The sequence below is a fragment of the Homo sapiens genome, chromosome 11 (assembly GCF_000001405.40).
Source record: "Homo sapiens chromosome 11, GRCh38.p14 Primary Assembly".
NCBI classification, from domain to species: domain Eukaryota; kingdom Metazoa; phylum Chordata; class Mammalia; order Primates; family Hominidae; genus Homo; species Homo sapiens.
The window spans coordinates 9,915,235-9,936,047 of NC_000011.10; the positions used below are offsets into that span (position 1 = coordinate 9,915,235).

The window sequence follows — 20,813 nt, forward strand, 5'->3', positions numbered from 1 at the left end:
TCAAGAGATTGAGACGGTCCTGGCCACCATGGTGAAACCCTATCTCTACTAAAAATACAAAAATTAGCTGGGCGTGGTGGCACGTGCCTGTAGTCCCAGATACTTGGGAGGCTGAGGCAGGAGAATTGCTTGAACCCGGGAAGTGGAGACTGCAGTAAGCCGAGATCGCGCCACTGTACTCCAGTCTGGTAACAGAGCAAGAGTCCGTCTCAAAAAAAAAAAAAAAAAAAGAAATTCTAGCTGATAAACTGCTTCCTCTAACTTTAAAACAAGGAAAAGATGGACTTACCCATGAAGAGATAACATTAATAATTTGTACAGTTTACATAGTTTCAAAGTTGCTACTGTAATTTTTTTTGCTTTTCTTTCAGAAAAAAAATTAAAGACCAGACTTAAGGTTCCTGTGAGAAAAAAGGAAACTGAATTATAAATCTGTCATATTTAGAAAGGTTAGTAGGTTGACCAAATAAATAAAATGTATAAAAAACCATTCTGTACATTAGAAAAAGCTTCATATATATAAAAAATGTCATAAGAAACCAAATAGGCTGGGCACGGTGGCTCATTCCTGTAATCCCAGCACTTTGGGAGGCCAAGGTGGGTGGATCACCTAAGGTCCAAGAGTTCGAGACCAGCCTGACCAATATGGTGAAACCCCATGTCTACTAAAAATACAAAAATTAGCCAGGTGTGGTGGTGTGCACCTGTAACCCCAGCTACTCTGGAAGCTGAGACAGGAGAATCGCTTGAACCTGGGAGGCGGAGGTTGCAGTGAGCCAAGATTGCACCACTGTACTCCAGCCCAAGTGACAGAGTGAGATTCTGTCTCCAAAAACAGACAAACAAAAAAACCAAATAGTAATTTTTAGCATTTTAAATCTATGAGCTATCATAATGTTGCCTTTATAATACTAGCAAAGATAAACTAATCAAATACTTATATAATCAACTATCACAAATAACTAGGGATAATTTTCTTTATGACTTATATCATAAAAAGATGATAATAGAAGATCAGAGAAAAGCTTAGCTAGCTCTCAGTTTCAAGAAAAATATCCTGAAATGTTATTGTCAATGGTCAAAATCAAACACTGGCAGAAAAATTTTAAATTTTAAGAATGTAATTGTTCCTGCTGAGCATTATTAATGAAAATGTTTTTGAAATTCAAAATCCAGTTGCACACAATGAATGAAATATATTTATATCTATATTTCACATATTTCCCTGTGCTTCAATACATTTTTTTCACACTCGGTGAAATGTGAAGTGTTACAGGTGGTCAGGATAGTAACATGAAAGCGGCCTTGGAAATACTAAGAAACAATGTGCAAGTCCTGAACTTACATCTTTTTCTTTCTTTTCCTTTTTTTTCTTTTTTTTGAGACAGGGTCTTGCTCTGTTGCCCAGGCTGGAGTGCAGTGGTGCAGTCATGGCTCACTGCAACCTTGAACTACTGGGCTCAAGTGATCCTCCTGCTCAGCCTCCTGAGTAGCTGAGATTACACACATCTGGCTAATTTTTAAATTTTTTGTAGGGATGGGGTCTCACTACGTTGTTTAGGCTGGTCTTGAAATTCTGGCCTCAAGTGATCCTCTTGCCTCAGCCTCCCAAGTGCTAAGAGTACAGGAGCAAATTACCATGCCTGACCCTGAACTTGTTTCTTAATGACAACATAAAATTGGATACTAGTCAGAAGATCAACAGCCTCTTGTTTGGCTTGGGCCTTCTGTAACCCCCACCCTTATCAACCAAATGGATTATACTTAGACATTTAATTTAACCTCTGTACCATTTAAGATTACACATGTGTTCTTTTTTTTATTTTCATTTAAAAAAAACTCACAAACTTCCATTTCAATATGAAAGATCTAGGAAATACATGTAAGTGAAAAGAAAGCAAAATATCTTGTGATAAATCCTGCCATCTTTGAATATCAATGTAACACTTTGGTGTCAATACTTCATTTTCTTCCTAATTGCAGATCATATATTTATTTATATAATTTATCTTTTATAAAGTCACTTTATTCTTGAACTGATTTCCTTCCTTGGCCTCTGTGACCTTCTTTTGTCTCAGGTCCCATTACAAGTTTTTTTGTTTTTGTTTTTGTTTTGAGACAGAATCTCCCTCTGTCACCCAGGCTGAAGTGCAGTGACACGGTCTTGGCTCCCTGCAACCTCCGCCTCCCGAGTTCAAGCAATTCTCCTGCCTCAGCCTCCCTAGTAGCTGGGATTACAGGCACACACCACCAGGCCCAGCTAATTTTTATATTTTTACCAGAGATGGGGTTTCACCATGTTGCCCAGGCTGGTCTTGAACTCCTGAGCTCAAGTGATCCACCCGCCTCGGCCTCCCAAAGTGCTGGGATTACAGGCATGAGCCACTGCGCCCAGCCACAAGTTTTTATTATTCTATCTTCCCTTCTTAATATTAGTATTCCTCACTTTTTTTTTTCATCTTCAGATCTCTTCTTATGGTACGTGCCTTCCTGAGGTTAGCGCGACCATTTTTGTAATATAAAGCACCACTGGAATCTGTATCGCCAGCCTAGACCACCCTCCTCAGCTCCATCTGACCGGACACCTCCAATTTGATGTCTTTAAAAACCCCAAACTTGATATATCCTGAACTCAATTATCTGTACCCAGGCCTCCGACACTCACCCTTAAGCATGATCCTCTTCCACACTATTTTGGTAAACAGGACCAGCATTTATTCAGTCGCCTAGCCAAAAACCTTTCCATCACATCATACCCTACGATTCCATCACATATGAACTTGATGCCTGCAAAGTGACCTTCTTTCTATCTATCCACCCAACAATATGTTTAGTTGAAATAGGCGCATCTAGGGACCACGAATTAAGCAGTTATATGATCATTGCCCTCTTGAAGCTTAATCAAGTACTGTTATTTCTATCTTCGCCACATTTGTCATCGGCTCCCTCTTACTAACTTACTACCTTTGGACTCTCACCATGGCTATAACCTTTACTCCTATCCATTTTTGAGCCTTTGGGGGAGCTCTGTAGTACAAATCAGATTGCTTCTCTGTTTTCCCCCCCATCCTCCTATTTTTAGCTTTCCCATGTCTACTAAGTCTACTTGTCCATTTTCTTTTTATTTCTTTTTTTTGAGACAGGGTCTCACTTTATGATCCAGGCTGGAGTGCAGTGGCACAATCATGGCTCACTGCAGCCTTGAACCTCCCAGGCTGAAGCCATCCTCCCACCTCAGCTTCCTGAGTAGCTGGAACTACAGGTGCACGCCACCATGCCTGGCTAATTTTTGTATTTTTGTATTTTATTTATTTTTTTGCAGAGACAAGGTTTTGCCATGTTGCACAGACTGGTCTCAATTCCTGGGCTCATATGATCCACACATCTTGGCCTTCCAAAGTGCTGAGATTACATTTATGAGCCACTACGCCTGGCCCCTTTGCCTTCTGTCTTCTAAAATGTTGTAGCTAATATCTCTTAATCTATTTTCTTTTCCTTGTGGATTTACGTCTTTTTTTTTTTGAGACGGAGTCTCACTCTGTCACCCAGGCTGGAGTGCAGTGGCGTGATCTCGGCTCGCTGCAAGCTCTGCCTCCTGAGTTCACGCCATTCTCCTGCCTCAGCCTCCTGAGTAGCTGGGACTACAGGCGCCTGCCACCACGCCCGGCTAATTTTTTCTATTTTTTTTTAGTAGAGACGCGGTTTCACCGTGTTAGCCAGGATGGTCTTGATCTCCTGACTTTGTGATCCGCTCGCCTTGGCCTCCCAAAGTGCTGGGATTACAGGTGTGAGCCACTGCATCTGGCTTTTTTTATTTTTTAATCCTCTACTATCCAACTTTTAGGAAAAGAGCAGAAGTAAATGTATGGAGGTAAATTACCAGGATCCCAGAATTAGGTCATTCTTCAGTTCGTAATTCCTAGACATTTCTTTATACCACTATTGTTAGAATATTTTAATCTCTTTTCCCTCACATTCTCTAGCTGATTTTCCATCAAGATTTGAAATAGCCTCTCCTTTCTTCTTCTTCTTCTTCTTTTTTTTTTTTGAGATAGAGTTTTGCTCTTGTTGCCCAGGCTGGAGTGCAATGGCACCATCTTGGCTTGTAGTAGGACGAGCCACAGACAAAACTCCTCAGACTCCGAGTTAAAGAAGGAAGGGGTTTATTCGGCTGGGGGCATCGGCAAGACTCCTGTCTCAAAAGCCGAGCTCCCCGAGTGAGCAATTTCTGTCCCTTTTAAGGGCTCACAACTCTAAGGGGGTGTGCGTGAGAGGGTCGTGATCGATTGAGCAAGCAGGGGGTACGTGACTGGGGGCTGCATGCACCGGTAATTAGGTCGTAACAAAACAGGATAGGGATTTTCACAGTGCTTTTCTATACAATGTCTGGAATCTATAGATAACATAACCAATTAGGTCAGGGGTCCATCTTTAACTACCAGGTCCAGGGTGTGGCCCCGGGCTGTCTGCTTGTGGATTTCATTTCTGCCTTTTAGTTTTTACTTTTTCTTTCTTTGGAGGCAGAAATTGGGCATAAGACAATATGAGGGGTGGTCTCCTCCCTTAGGCTCACTACAACCTCCACCTCCCAGGTTCAAGTAATTCTCCTGCCTCAGCCTCTCAAGAAGCTGAGATTACAGGCATGTGCCACCATGCCCGGCTAATTTTGTATTTTTAGTAGAGACAGGGGTTTCTCCATGTTGGTCAGGCTGGTCTGGAACTCCTGACCTCAGGTGATCCGCCTGCCTGGGCCTCCTAAAGTGCTGGGATTACAGGTGTGAGCCACCATGCCCGGCCTCTTCTTTTTTAAAAAAAACTTACTTATTTCTTATCTTATATATACCTCTAGTCCAAAGAAATAGAAATAAGACTCAGTAAGTTGCCAGGTATACTGGGAGAGTACAGCAACTACATATAACTCATAAGGCTCAAAACTGCAAATACTATATGTGTGTGTGTGTGTGTGTGTGTATATATATATATATACACACACATATATGTATATCATATATGTATATTTATTTACTTATTTTTGGCATGGAAAAACAGGCAGAATTGGGAAGGGGGAAGAATTTACTCTAAGTTGTATAACTGAGCTTTGGCAGGGAGATAGGGAGGCAAGAGTCAGGCCAAGTTCCTGATACAGAGAAGCTACCAGCTTTGTGTGTAGTTTATGAGACCTGATCTAGATATTCTAGGCACCAGTGCAAGAAGTATATACTATTAATTACCACACATATGGATTAGCATATGCCTACATAAAACCTAGTCTGTCTTTCAGAACATATACTTAAAGGAATTTTATAATTAGGTTGCAGATCATTAGACTCTCTGCTTATTGAGTTATAAAGTATCTTCTTTCACATGTGAGAAGAGACATTAATCTAAAATTTCTTTATGATTTTATCTAAGATTTCAGTGCTGTGTGGAAAAAGTAGCCCTTCAAAGTACTGGTTTTAAAATACTAGCTGCAGAAGGAGGCCAATTTCCCGAAACAAAAGTGAGTGGATATTAAATTGCAATGTGGACACCATGCCCTGTACCGTTATTTCAGAATGTCCAGGCACGAGGACAGTGATACCCTAGTCAGGGAAGCATGACATGGAGAGAGACCACGTCTTTCTAATGCCCTGGTGTTCTGTCAGGGTTCCACAACCTACCCTTAAGGGTTCCTCCTACCCTTAATTTTCCCATTCATTGCATACTTTGCCCTACTTCTTTCTTTCTCTTTTCCAGTTTACTTCTCTTCCCTTCTCAGCCTACTGCCTATAGTAATAGTTTTCAAAATGTGGTCCCTGGATGATATGCATCAGTATGACCTGAAAACTTCTTTTTTTTTTTTTTTTTTTTTTGGAGCTGGAGTTTTGCTCTTGTTGCCCAGGCTGGAGTACAATGGCTTGATCTCAGCTCACTGCAACTTCCACCTCTCGGGTTCAAGCGATTCTCCTGCCTCAGCCTCCCAAGTAGATGGGATTACAGGCATACGCCACCATGCCCGGCTAATTTTGTATTTTCAGTAGAGATGGGGTTTCTCCATGTTGGTCAGGTTGGTCTCCTACTCCCGACCTCAGGTTATCCGCCCGCCTGGGCCTCCCAAAGTGCTGGGATTACGGGCTTCAGCCACCGCGTCCAGCCAGAACTTGTTAAATATACAAATTCCTGGGCTCCATCCTAGTTTCTACTTAATCAGAAACTCTGGGTGTGGCCACAGCGACCTGTGTTTTAACATGCTGTCTAGTTATTCTAATGCTCGCTAAACTTTGAGAATCACTGCCTTATAGTGTACTAAAATTATCCTTTCTGATATGGCCTTGAAACATTCTAAAAAACTAGAATTATACCTGATTTTGGATACAAGCAATGTGTGAAATTCTTTGCATGATTAAAATTACTCTATTTGCTTAAAGTAAATTGTCGCCACATTTTTAAGATTAAAATCTAAGTGTTTTAAGGAAATATGCTTGTGTTACTTACTTCATACTTATGTCTTTATTTCTTCACCAGTAAGTATGAGCCCAGTGCATACAAAGTAAAAACTTGCATACAGTCTCTTACAATTGGAGTTATTCTGTCTTCAAAGGGCTTACAAGCTATTGCAACTAACAGATAAGCAGGCTTACCTATAGCTAATATAAATCCATGTGTTTAACTTGCCACAACAGAAGAAAAAGATGTTATGGGATTATAGAAGAGGGAGTGATTCCAATAGCAATCAGAAAAGCCTTCACGGGCTGGGCATGGTAGTTCATGTCTGTAATCCTAGTACTTTAGGAGGCCAAGGTGGGAGGACTGCTTGAGCCCAGGCGTTTTAAGACCAGCCTGGGCAACATAGTGGGACTCCGATTGTACAAAAAACTTAAAAATTAACTGGCATGGTGGTGCGCACCTGCAGTCCTAGCTACTCAGGAGGCTGAGGTGGGAGGACTGGTTGAGCCCAGGAGATGGAGGCTGCATGCAGTGAGCCACGATCATGACACGGTACTCCAGCCTGGGAAACAGAGCAAGACTCTGTCTCAAAAAAAGAAAAAGGAAAAAAAGAAAAAAGAAAAAAATCAGCATCCACGAGTGAGGCATATTTTAGCTGGACTGGAAGATGAATAGTCTATTTGGACTCATTTTTCTTTCACATTTTCCTCTAATTTTTTTCTCTTATATGCCAGTACTTAATGGCTGTTATTTTGCACATAGTTTAAACTATGACTATAATTTAAATAAGACTTTTACACATATCTGCAATAAAAATGGGGTCTACTGCTTTTCATTTTTAAGCATTATGTTTTGCCTAAATAGAAGTTTACAAAATTAAACTAGTTTATCATTATTTATGTGAATTCAAAACTTTTTTTTATTTCACACAAATTTAAAGAAATGTTATTATGGTTATAGACCAAACACCATTATCATTTAAAGACCATCTGTAGTGTACTGAAAAAAGCACAGGACCTGCTTTGAAACATACCCTTGTAACTGAGCACCCCCATTTTTCTGAGACAGAGAGAATGAGCTCGTTTTTTTCTCTTTTCTCTATTTCCCCCTCTTTCCACTTCTTACTTAGCCCTTTAGAAATGCAATTATAACCTTTTACCTCCCTGTTACCAGATACTCCCTACAGAGCAAGTTCATTTAACTATGTGCTTAGAAGCTCCAGAGTGGAACTTGCACCCACCAGGAGGTTGCCTCGAGAGACAACAGTCAATCTACAACCCAAAGTATGCCCACTAGGAAACTTTCTCCTACCTGGAGAGTTTCAGCTACCTTTATAACCTAGTTCTGCCTACAAAGGCACAGTGCTCGCCAGCTTGAATGCTGGGCAGACAGAGTACTGAAGCAAGTCATGTGGATCCCCTCCTCTTTCTTCCTCCCTCGCATGCCATTCCTGCCAAACTCCCTTTTAAAAGCACTCACTTCCTGCTCCAAAAGTGAAGCGGTACCCTTAAGGCAGGAAGCCTGTACTTCTTCCCCAAACTAGCTTTGGAATAAAAAATCATTTTCTTTATACTAGATCTCTCCCTTGTTAATTGGACTCTGCAAGTGACGAGCAACTAAACCTGCATTTTGGTTACACCCTAGTTAAAAACAACAACAACAACAACAACAACAAAACAGACAAGGCGTGCTGAGTTCTACAATGGAGAGACTAAGCAATTTAAATCCAGTGGCAGAATTTTTGGCTACAGTGAGACAAACTTTAGGGACAAATGATACTCTACAAAAATGTGGTTAGAATGGTTTCAGTCTAAATGTAATTCTTAGAAACATCACGGCCACTGTTTACTACATTTGTGAAATTTTGAATCTGTCAAGAGTTGTTTGAGTAAGCAACCTTAAAGAATGAAAAGCTATTTACAATGGGACATATTTTCTTGACTCTAAAACAAAAAATGGTTGTAGATCTTCACCATTTTCTAGGCAGGCTCCTCCTGGCACATGGAGATCATGCTGTGAATTGCAGGAGGAAGGGTTTAGCAGTAAACTTTGGAATGTAACCCCTTATTGGCAAAGTATCTGTACCTAATTGATTTTCTTTACCCTTTTAAAAAAAGAATCTCTAGTTCCCGGCCCCAAATGGCCACCTAAACTTCAATCAAATATTGCAATAAAATCCAAACTAAGAGGATTTCACTGAAGTATAAAGTGTGAGGCAGAAAATTAGAGACCAGATTTATTAGCTTGGGTTGAATTTCATGCTAGTTCCATTAATTAAAAAGCAATTTTTGCTAAATCTCTGTAAGGGCTTTGATGCTCTCAACTGTTCTCACTTACATCCACCACTACTTCAGGGGCTTCTATCATCAGGATCAAAGGAAAATGAGTGGTGGAAAAGGAAAGCAAGACTAGTGTCTTAAGCTAGAGTTTGAGCATGGGATTCTAGAGCAATGATGTCTGACTGAAATACAGATGGTCCTAGACTTATGATGGTTTGACTTACAATTTTTTGAGTTTAAGATGATGTGAAAGTGATATGCATTCGGTAGGGACTATACCTCGAGTACCCACACAATCATTCTATTTTCCACTTTTAGTATAGTATTCAATAAATTACATGAGATATTTGACACTTTATTATAAAATAGGCTTTGTATTAGATGATTCTGCCCAACTGTAGGCTAACGTAAGTGTTCTGAGCATGTTTAAAGTATGCTAGGCTAAGCTATGTTGTTCAGTAGGCTAGGTGTATTGAAAGCATTTTCTTATTTATTTATTTATTTATTTTTGAGACAGAGTCTCGCTCTGTTGCCCAGGCTTGAGTGCAATGGCGTGATCTCCGCTCACGGCAACCTCTGCCTCCTGGGTTCAAGCAATTCTCCTGCCTCAGCTTCCCGAGTAGCTGGGATTACAGGCATGCACCACCCCGCCCCGCTAATTTTTGTATTTTTAGTAGAGACGAGGTTTCACGATGCTGGCCAAGCTGGTCTCAAACTCCTGACCTCAGGCGATCCACCCCCCTCAGCCTCCCAAAGTGCTGGGATTACAGGCGTGAGCCACCACGCCCAGTCGCATTTTCTTATTTTTATTTATTTATTGATTGATTGAGACAGGCTCTTGCTCTGTCACTCATGCTGGAATGAAGTGGCATGATCACAGCTCACTGCAGCCTCCACCTTCCAGGCTCAGGCAATCCTCCCACCTCAGCCTCCTAAGTAGCTGGGACCACAGGTGTACACCATCATGTCCAGCTATTTTTTTTATGTTTTGCAGAGATGAGGTCTCACTATGTTGCCCAGGCTGGTCTTGAACTCCTGGGCTCAAGCAGTTCTCCCTCCTCAGCCTCTCAAAGTGTTGGAATTACAGGCGTGAGCCACCGCACCTGGCCTAACTGCACTTTCAACTTAGGATATTTTTAACTTACAAAGAGTTTATCAGGAATGTAACCCCATTTTAAGTCAAGCAGGATCTGTATGATGTGAGCTATATGTGTAATTTAATATTTTCTGGTAGCCTAATTTAAAATAGTAAAAGGAAACAGGTAAAATTAAATATATTTTATCTAACCAAACACATCTAAAATATGATAGTTCAACCTAAAATTAATGTAAAAGTCACTAATGATATATATATATATATATTTTTAGATGGAGTTTTGCTCTTGGAGTGCAATGGTGCGTGATCTTGGCTCACTGCAACCTCCACCTCCCGGCTTCAAGCGATTTTCCTGCCTCAGCCTCCCAAGTAGCTGGGATTACAGGCATGCGCCACCACGCCCGACTAATTTTGAATTTTTAATAGAGACAGAGTTTCTCCATGTTGGTCAGGCTGGTCTCAAACTCCAACCTCAGGTGATCCGCCCACCTGGGCCTCCCAAAGCGCTGGGATTATAGGCGTGAGCCACCGTGCCCGTCCACTAATGAGATATTTTATATTCCTTTACTGGACTAAGTCCTCAAAAGCCAATGTATATGTCACACTAACAGCACATCTTGGTTTGAATTAGACACATTTCACCTAGTCGAATCTAGTTCCACATGTGTCACATAAAGATTTTGGACTACATTAGACTACAATACCCTTAAAATATAGGTCTTATAGTCCTAAAGTTATAGAAAGTGTGATTTTCTATCTCTTTTCTTCCCACAATTGCCCTTTCCTTAGGCTTTTGGCTGCTATTTTTAGAATACTGTTTAGAAAATTATGGCAGGGGACATCAAATCAGGGTACTGAACTTGTTATAGGGCAACTGAAAAATGTCAGTCTCCCCAGGCTAAAAAATAAGGTTTGGAACCAACGTGATAACGTTTTCCATGAAATTAGTTATAGATAAAAGAGAGAACAGTTTGAACTTCAAAGGGTATCAAAGTCAGACAGCCTCAAAGACTGATATGTGGATCTTTCCCCTTTGATTTTGTTATGAAACTGGGCTGTCTCCATTGCAGACTATCTGTAATCTGGCTTAAGTTGTACTTATAAAAGTGTTTTAGTCTCCTTGTTTTTTTCCCTTTTCACATTGAACTTTGGTCATTTCTACACTGCATAAGTAGAAAAATATTTCGGGTAGACTGTATTTGATTTTCCTGTAGCTGTTAGAAACTTGCAAACCTTTTTGTCACTGGTGAGAATTCAAAATTGAAGTTTAGCCTTAAGAATAAAAAAAATTGTCTTTTTTTTTTTCCTTTTAACAAACTACCATTGGAAAGACTGAAAATCTTAAGTAGGGAAAAAGCAAAAGGATGGCCCCTACTTAAAATTTCATAATGCTATACCAATCAAAATTCTTATATTAGAACACACATTCTTTTCAAGTGCATAAGGAATAGCTGCCAATATAGACCATATACTGGACCATAAAACATCTCCCAATGAATTTAAAAGCATGTTATCTGAACATGATAGAAGTTAGAAAGCATTAAGAGAAAAACCTCTGAAAGATCCACGCAAAGAGTATAATATAAACTACATAACATAATTCTAAATAACCTAAGCGTTCAAAGAAGAAATCAAAAGGGAAATGAGAAAGTATTTAAAAATGAATAAAAATGAAGACATATTATATAAAAATTTGTTGGCTGCTAATAAGGCGGTATTTAGTGAGAAATTTCTAGCACTAAATACCTGTGTTAGAAAAGAAGAAAGGTTTCAAATCAATCACATTAGCATCTACCTTAAGAAAATGGACAAAGAGCTAATTAAATATAAAGTAAGTAGAAGAAAGGAAATAAAATGTCGTGTAGAAATCAATAATAGACAACATAAAAACAACAGAGAGAAAATCAATGAAACCCGAAACTGGTTCTCTGAGAAATTTAATAAAATGTATAACTCTCTAGCTTGACTGAACAGGATAAAAAGGGGAGACAACACATTTTTGCCATGAGGAATGAGAGAGATGACATTATTCTAGATTCTATAGATATTAAAAAGATAATAAAGAACTAGGATTAACATGTTATATCTATATATTGGACAATTTTGACAAAATGAACAAATTCCTTTTAAGATACCAATTGCTAAATACCTCTTACAAAATAAATAACCCAAATACATTACATCTACAAAATAATTGAACTTGAAGTTAAAAACCTTCTCATAAAGAAAGATCTAGGCCTGGATATCTTTATTTATGAATTCCACCAAATATTTAAGGAAGCAATAATACCAATTCTAGACAAACTCTACTGGAAAATTGAGCCGGAGTATGCACTTCCCAACTGATTTTATGAGGCCAGCAATACCCTGCTACCAAAACCAGACACAGAAATTAGCAAATCAAATCCGACAAGTTAAACCGGATGCAGTACTATGTGCCTATAGTTCCAGCTATTTGGGAGGCTGAAGCAAGAGGATCACTGGAGTCAGTCTGGGCAAGATAGCAAGTCCTCTGTCTCTAATAAAATAAAAAATTAAATAAAAAAATAAAAAATACATCATGATCAACTAGAATGGAAAGCTGGTTTCACATTAGCAAATCAACCAATGTAATTCACCCTGTTAAAAAACTGAAGAGAAAAACTATCTGATCACCTTAAAAGATACGGAAAAAAAATCTGACAAAATACCACATCAATTATTTGATTCCTCAGTATCCTAGGAATCAAAGGACACTTTCATAAACAGATAAGAGAGTATCTACAAAAAAACCCTACAGCTAATGTCTGCACTTAAATCTATACTATTTTTCACAAAAGTGCAAAGCCAATTCAGTGAGTAAACAAATGATGCAACAACAACTCTATATCTGTTTGTAAAAGAAATGAACTTGGTCCCATACCTTATACCAAATTAAAAAGATAAACTAGAAACAGCTGAGATCTAAATATGAAACCTAAACATTTAGCATTTTTAAAGAAAATGAGAGAAAATTTTTGTCACTTTGGGTTTAGAGAAGACTTCTTAGATATGATACCAAGTGCATATCTATTCATGAATAAAAAATTGATAAACTGGACTTTATCAAAATAAAAAGCTTCTGATCTTTAAAAGACACTGTTCAGAGAATAAAAATATAAGACAATATCTGAAAATAACTGAAAATCATATATTTGAGAAGGACTTGTATTCAGAATATAAAAATTTTTCCAAACTCGGTAATAAGAAAACAAACAACCCAATTTAAAAAGGGCAAAATATTTGAACATACATCAACAAAGATATATAGATGGTAAATAAGTATAAATCAAGATGTCCAATATCATCAGTCATTAGGAAAGTGCAAATTAAAACCACATGAGATACAACCACACACCTATTAGGATGGCTTCAAATGGAAAGACTGACTACAGGAAGTGTTGGAGAGGATGTGGAAATACTGGAACTCTCATATACTCATGGTGGGAATGTAAAATGATAGAGCTGCTTGAAACACAGCTTGGACATTTCTTAAAAAGTTAAAAGTACACATACTATAGGGTCCAGCCAATACACTCCTGTTATTTTAAACTAGATAAATGAATGCATTATGTCCATCAAAGACTTATGCATGAATGTTGAGAGCAGTTTTACTTGTACCAGGCCCCAGCTGGAAATGAATCAAATATTCATTAACATGTGAATGGATAAGCAAAAGTAACTGAGGTATTTGCATTGTTGGAATCTGCCGTTTGATACTGGAATACGTTCTTAAATAAATGTGGTTATGTTTTATACATCATTTTAATGGGCATTTCTCACTTTATTTTTCTTTTGTTAATGACTTATTACTTGCTGTTCATTTCATGTTTTAGACTATGAAAATGATGTTAGATAAAAATTAAATTCAAGCAATTTTCTTGTTCGAGTTCAAAACGGGTCATAAAGCAGCAGAGATAACTTGCAACATCAACAATGCATTTGGCCCAGGAACTGCTAATGAACATACAGTGCAGTGCTTGTTCAAGAAGTTTTGCAAAGGAGAAGAGGAAGATGAGGAGTGTAGTGACCAGCCATTAGAAGTTGACAACAACCAAGTGGGAGCAATCATCAAAGCTCATCCTTTTACAACTACACGAGAAGGTGCCGAAGAGCTCACCATTGACCATTCTATGGTCATTTGGCATTTGAAGCAAACTGGAAAGGTGAAAAAGCTCGATAAGTGGATGCCTCATGAGCTGAACCAAAAAAAACAAAAAACAAAAAAAAAAAAACCATCGTTTTGAAGTGTCATCTTCTCTTACTCTATGCAACAAGGAAACATTTCTCAATTGGATTGTGATGTGCCACAAAAAGTGGATTTTATATGACAACCAGTGACAACCAGCTCAGGGGTAGGACCAAGAAGCAGCTCCAAAGCGCTTCCCAAAGCCAAACTTGCAACCAAAAAAGGTCATGGTCACTGTTTGGTGGTCTGCTGCCAGTCTGATCCACTACAGCTTTCTGAATCCTGGCGAAACCATTACATCTCAGAAGTATAGTTGGCAAATCGATGAGATAAACCGAAAACTGCAAGGCCTGCAGCTGGCATTGGTCAACAGAAAGGGCCCAATTCTTCTCCATGACAATGCATGTCACACAACCAATGCTTCAAAAGTTGAACAAATTGGGCTACAAAGTGCTGCCTCATCCACCGTATGCACCCAACCCCTGGTCAACTGACTACCACTTCAAGCATCTCAACAACTTTTTGCAGGGAAAATGCTTCCACAACCAGCAGGATGCAGAAAATGCTTTCCAAGAGTTCGTTGAATCTTGAAGCACAGACATTTATGCTACAGGAATAAAGAAACTTATTATTAACTGGCAAAAATGTGTTGATTGTAACGGTTCCTATTCTGATTAATAAAGATGTGTTTTCATTGTTCAGCTCCCATGGACACAGGTAGGGGAACAATACTTACTGGGGCCTGTTGGGGGATGGTGGGGGTGGGAGAGCATTACGGAAAAGAGCTGATGCATGCTGGGCTTAATACCTAGGTGATGGGTTGACAGGTGCAGCAAACAACCATGGCACACGTTTACCTATGTAACAAACCTGCACATCCTGGACATGTACCTCAGAAATTAATATAAAGAATTTTAAAAAAAGTACAAACAGGTGAAAAAAAATGTGTTTGAGCCTAGTTATAATGATTTAAAATTCATGGTCCAAAACTGCATTTACTTTTTTACCAACCTAATATTTATACAATATATAACAGTACTATTCACCATTAAAAAGGAATGATCTATTGATGCATACTACATACATCAAAATAATGATGCTGAGTAAAAGAAGCCAGACCAAAAAAATTACATATTTGATTCCATTCACATAAAATGTAGAAAATGCAACCTAATCTATAGTGGCAGAGAAAAGATCAGCAGTCACCTGGGAATGGGTATAGAGGCAGGGTGTTGAGAAGAGGGGAGAGTATCCTTTGTATCCCTTTTCTTGTACAAAAGAGTACAAGAAACTTTTGGGGATAATAAATTGGTTCATTATTTTGATTGTTGTGATAGTTTCAAAGGTGTCTATACATGTTAAAAAGTTATTAACTTGGGGAGATCCGTTTCAAGATGGCTGAACAGGAACAGCTCTGGTCTGCAGCTCCCAGCGTGATCGATGCAGAAGACGGGTGATTTCTGCATTTCCAAGTGAGGTACCTGTTTCATCTCATTGGGACTGGTTGGACAGTGGGTGCAGCCCACGGAGGGTGAGCCGAAGCAGCGTGGGGTGTCACCTCACCTGCGAAGAGCAAGAGATTGGGGGATTTCCCTTTCCCAGCAAAGGGAAGCCATGACAGACTGCACCTGGAAAAACGGGACACTCCCACCCAAATACTGCACTTTTACCAAGGTCTTAGCAACTGGCAGACAAGAAGATTCTCTCCCATGCCAGGCTTGGCTGGTCCCATGTCCACAGAGCCTTGCTCACTGCAAGCTAGCACAGCAGTCTGAGATTGAACTTTGAGGTGGCAGCCTGGCTGGGGGAGGGGCATCTGCCATTGCTGCAGCTTGCGTAGGTAAACAAAGAAACCAGGAAGCTCGAACTGGGCGGAGCCCACTGCAGCTCAGCAAGGCCTACTGCCTCTATGGACTCCACCTCTGTGGGCAGGGCATAGCTGAACAAAACGCAGCAGACAGCTTCTGCAGACTTAGAAGTCCCTGTCTGACAGCTCTGAAGAGAGCAGTGGTTCTTCCAGAATGGCGGCTGAGCTCTGAGAATGGACAGACTGCCTCCTCAAGTGGGTCCCTGACCCCTGTGTAGTCTAACTGGGAGACACCTCCCAGTAGGGATCGACAGACACCTGATATAGATGGGTGCCCCTCTGGGACGAAGCTTTCAGAGGAAGGATCAGGCAGCAGTATTTGCTGTTCTGCAATATTTGCTGTTCTGCAGCCTCCACTGGTGATACTCAGGCAAACAGGGTCTGGAGTGGACCTCCAGCAAACTCCAACACACCTGCAGCTGAGGGACCTGACTGTTAAAAGGAAAACTAAACAACAGAAAGGAATAGCACCAACATCAACAAAAAGGACATCTACACCAAAACCCCATCTGTAGTTCACCAACATCAAAGACAAAAGGTAGATAAAACCACAAAGATGGGGAGAAACCAGAGCAGAAAAGCTGAAAATTCTAAAAACCAGAGCACCTCTTCTCCTCCAAAGGATCGCAGCTCCTCCCCAGCAATGGAACAAAGCTGGATGGAGAATGACTTTGATGAGTTGACAGAAGTAGGCTTCAGAAGGTCAGTAATAACAAACTTCTCCAAGCTAAAGGAGCATGTTCAAACCCATCGCAAGGAAGCTAAAAACTTGAAAAAAGGTTAGACGAATGGCTAACTAGAACAAACAGTATAGAGAAAACCTTAAATGACCTGATGGAGCTGAAAACCATGGCACGAGAACTTCGTGACGCATGCACAAGCTTCAATACCCAATTCGATCAACTGGAAGAAAGGGTATCAGTGATTGAAGATCACATTAATGAAATAAAGTGAGAAGACAAGGTTAGAGAAAAAAGAGTAAAAAGCAACAAACGAAGCCTCCAAGAAATACGGGACTAGGTGAAAAGACCAAATCTACATTTGATAGGTGTACCTGAAAGTGATGGGGAAAATGGAACCAAGTTGGAAAACACTCTTCAGGATATCATCCAGGAGAACTTCCCCAACCTAGCAAGGCAGGCCAACATTCAAATTCAGGAAATACAGAGAACACCACAAAGATACTCCTCGAGAAGAGCAACCCCAAGACACAGAATTGTCAGATTCATCAAGGTTGAAATGAAGGAAAAAATGTTACGGGCAGCCAGAGAGAAAGGTCAGGTTACCCACAAAGGGAAGCCCATCAGACTAACAGTGGATCTCTCGGCAGAAACCCTACAAGCCGGAAGAGAGAGGGGGCCAATATTCATCCTTCTTAAAGAAAATAATTTTCAACCCAGAATTTCATATCCAGCCAAACTAAGCTTCATAAATGAAGGAGAAATAAAATCCTTTACAGACAAGCAAATGCTGAGAGATTTTGTCACCACCAGGCCTGCCTTACAAGAGCTCCTGAAGGAAGCATAAACATGGAAAGGAACAACCAGTACCAGCCACTGCAAAAACATGTCAAATTGTAAAGACCATCAATGTTACAAAGAAACTGCATCAATTAATGGGCAAAATAACCAGCTAGCATCATAATGATAGGATCAAATTCACACATAACAATATTAACCTTAAATTTAAATGGGCTAAATGCCCCAATTAAAAGATACAGACTGGCAAATTGAATAAAGAGTCAAGACCCATCGGTGTGCTCTATTCAGGAGACCCATCTCACATGAAGAGACACACATAGGCTCAAAATAAAGGGATGGAGGGAGATCTACCAAGCAAACGAAAAGCAAAAAAAAAAAAAAAAAAAAAAAAAAAAAACAGGTGTTGCAATCCTCAATCCTAGTCTCTGATAAAACAGACTTTAAACCAACAAAGATCAAAAGAGACAAAGAAGGCCATTACATAATGGTAAACAGATCAATTCAACAAGAAGAGCTAACTATCCTAAATATAGATGCACCCAATACAGGAGCACCCAGATTCATAAAGCAAGTCCTGAGAGACCTACAAAGAGACTTAGACTCCTACACAATAATAATGGGAGACTTCAACACCCCACTGTCTATATTACACAGATCAACGAGACAGAAGGTTAACAAGGATATCCAGGACTTGAACTCAGCTCTGGACCAAGTGGACCTAATGGACATCTACAGAACTCTCCACCCCAAATCAACAGAATATACATTCTTCTCAGCACCACATCACACTTATTCCAAAATTGACCACATAATTGGAAGTAAAGCATGCCTCAGCAAATGTAAAAGAACAGAAATCACAACAAACTGTGTCTCAGACCACAGTGCAATCAAATTAGAACTCAAGATTAAGAAACTCACTCAAAACCGCTCAACTACATGGAAACTGAACAAAGTGCTCCTGAATGACTACTGGGTACATAACGAAATGAAGGCAGAAATAAAGATGTTTTTTGAAACTAATGAGACCAAAGACACAACGTATCAGAATCTCTGGGGCGCATTTAAAGCAGTGTGTAGAGGGAAATTTACAGCACTAAATGCCCACAAGAGAAAGCAGGGAAGATCCAAAATCAGCATCCTAACATCACAATCAAAAGAACTAAAGAAGCAAGAGCAAACAAATTCAAAAGCTAGCAGAAGGCAAGAAATAACTAAGATCAGAGCAGAACTGAAAGAGATAGAGACACAAAAAACCTTTCAAAAAAATCAATGAATCCAGGGGCTGGTTTTTTGAAAAGATCAACAAAATTGATAGACTGCTAGCAAGACTAATAAAGAAGAAAAGAGAGAAGAATCAAACAGATGCAATAAAAAAATGCTACTCGGGAGGCTGAGGTAGGAGAATGGCATGAACCTGGGAGGCGGAGCTTGCAGTGAGCTGAGATTGTGCCATGGCACTCTAGCCTGGGTGACAGAGCGAGACTGTCTCAAAAATAAATAAATAAAAATAAAACATAAAAAATGATAAAGGGGATATCACCACCGATCCCACAGAAATACAAACTACCATCAGAGAATACTATAAACACCTCTGCTCAAATAAACTAGAAAATCTAGAAGAAATGGATAAATTCCTGGACACATACACCCTCCCAAGACTAAACCTGGAAGAAGTTGAATCTCTGAATAGACCAGTAACAGGCTCTGAAATTGAGGCAATAATAGCCTACCAACAACAAAAAAAGTCCAGAAGCAGACGGATTCACAACCGAATTCTACCAGAGGTACAAAGAGGAGCTGGTACCATTCCTTCTGAAACTCTTCCAATCAATAGAAAAAGAGGGAATCCTCCCTAACTCATTTTATGAGGCCAACATCATCCTGATACCAAAGCCTGGCAAAGACACAACAGAAAAAGAGAATTTTAGATCAATATCCCTGATGAACATCAATGTGAAAATCCTCAATAAAATAATGGCAAACCGAATCCAGCAGCACATCAAAAAGCTTATCCACCACGATCAAGTCGGCTTCATCCCTGGGGTGCAAGGCTGGTTCAACATACGCAAATCAATAAATGTAATCTATCACATAAACAGAACCAACAACAAAAAGACATGATTATCTCAACAGATGCAGAAAAGGCCTTTGACAAAATTCAACAGCCCTTCATGCTAAAAACTCTCGATAAACAAGGTATTGACGGAACGTACCTCAAAATAATAAGAGCTATTTATGACAAACCCACAGCCAATATCATACTGAATGGGCAAAAACTGGAAGCATTCCCTTTGAAAACTGGCACAAGACAAGGATGCCCTTTCTCACAACTGCTATTCAACTTAATGTTGGAAGTTCTCACCAGGGCAGTCAGGGAAGAGAAAGAAATAAAAGGTATTAAATTAGGAAAAGAGGAAGTGAAATTGTCCCTGTTTGCAGATGACATGATTGTATATTTAGAAAACCCCATCGTCTCAGCCCAAAATCTCCTTAAGCTGATAAGCAGCTTCAGCAGTGTCTCAGGATACAAAATCGATGCGCAAAAATCACAAGCATTCTTACACCAATAACAGACAAACGGAGAGCCAAATCATGAGTGAACTCCCATTCACAATTGCTACTAAGAGAATAAAATACCTAGGAATCCAACTTACAAGGGATGTGAAGGACCTCTTCAAGAGGAACTAGAAACCATTGCTCAACGAAATAAAAGAGGACACAAAGAAATGGAAGAACATTCCATGCTCATGGATAGGAAGAACCAATACCGTGAAAATGGCCATACTGCCCAAGGTAATTTATATATTCAATGCCATCCCCATCAAGCTACCAATAACTTTCTTCACAGAATTTGAAAAAAACTACTTTAAAGTTCATATGGAACCAAAAAAGGAGCCCACATTGCCAAGATAATTCTAAACAAAAAGAAGAAAGCTGGAGGCATCATGGTACCTGACTTCAAACTATACTACAAGGCTACAGTAACCAAAACAGCATGGTACTGGTATCAAAACAGATATATAGACCAATGGAACAGAACAGAGGCCTCAGAAATATCACCACACATCTACAACCATCTGATCTTTGACAAACCTGACAAAAACAACAGATGGGGAAAGGATTCCCTATTTAATAAATGGTGCTGGGAAAACTGACTAGCCATATGTAGAAAGCTGAAACTGGATCACTTCCTTACACCTTATATAGAAATTAATTCAAGATGGATTAAAGACTTAAATGTTAGACCTAAAACCATAAAAACCCTAGAAGAAAACCTAGGCAATACCATTCAGGACACAGGCATTGGTAAGGACTTCATGACTAAAACACCAAAAGCAATGGCAACAAAACCAAAATAGACAAATGGGATCTAATTAAACTAAAGAGCTACTGCACAGCAAAAGAAACTACCATCAGAGTGAATAGGCAATCTACAGAATGGGAGAAAAATTTTGCA

At 39.6% G+C, this 20,813-nt stretch overlaps 1 protein-coding gene and 1 long non-coding RNA gene across 12 annotated transcripts in view; one reads left to right on the forward strand and one right to left on the reverse strand.

Annotated features, from left to right (window-relative positions):
- Nucleotides 1–14,029, forward strand: part of LOC101928008 (uncharacterized) — a 90,122-nt gene extending 76,093 nt beyond the window's left edge. The window contains exons 2-3 of the long non-coding RNA NR_120539.1: nucleotides 372–449; nucleotides 13,656–14,029. This is a non-coding gene — a long non-coding RNA (uncharacterized LOC101928008). The remainder of the gene's footprint in view (nucleotides 1–371; nucleotides 450–13,655) is intronic.
- Nucleotides 1–20,813, reverse strand: part of SBF2 (SET binding factor 2) — a 526,174-nt gene that overhangs the window by 136,567 nt on the left and 368,794 nt on the right. The window lies entirely within an intron of this gene.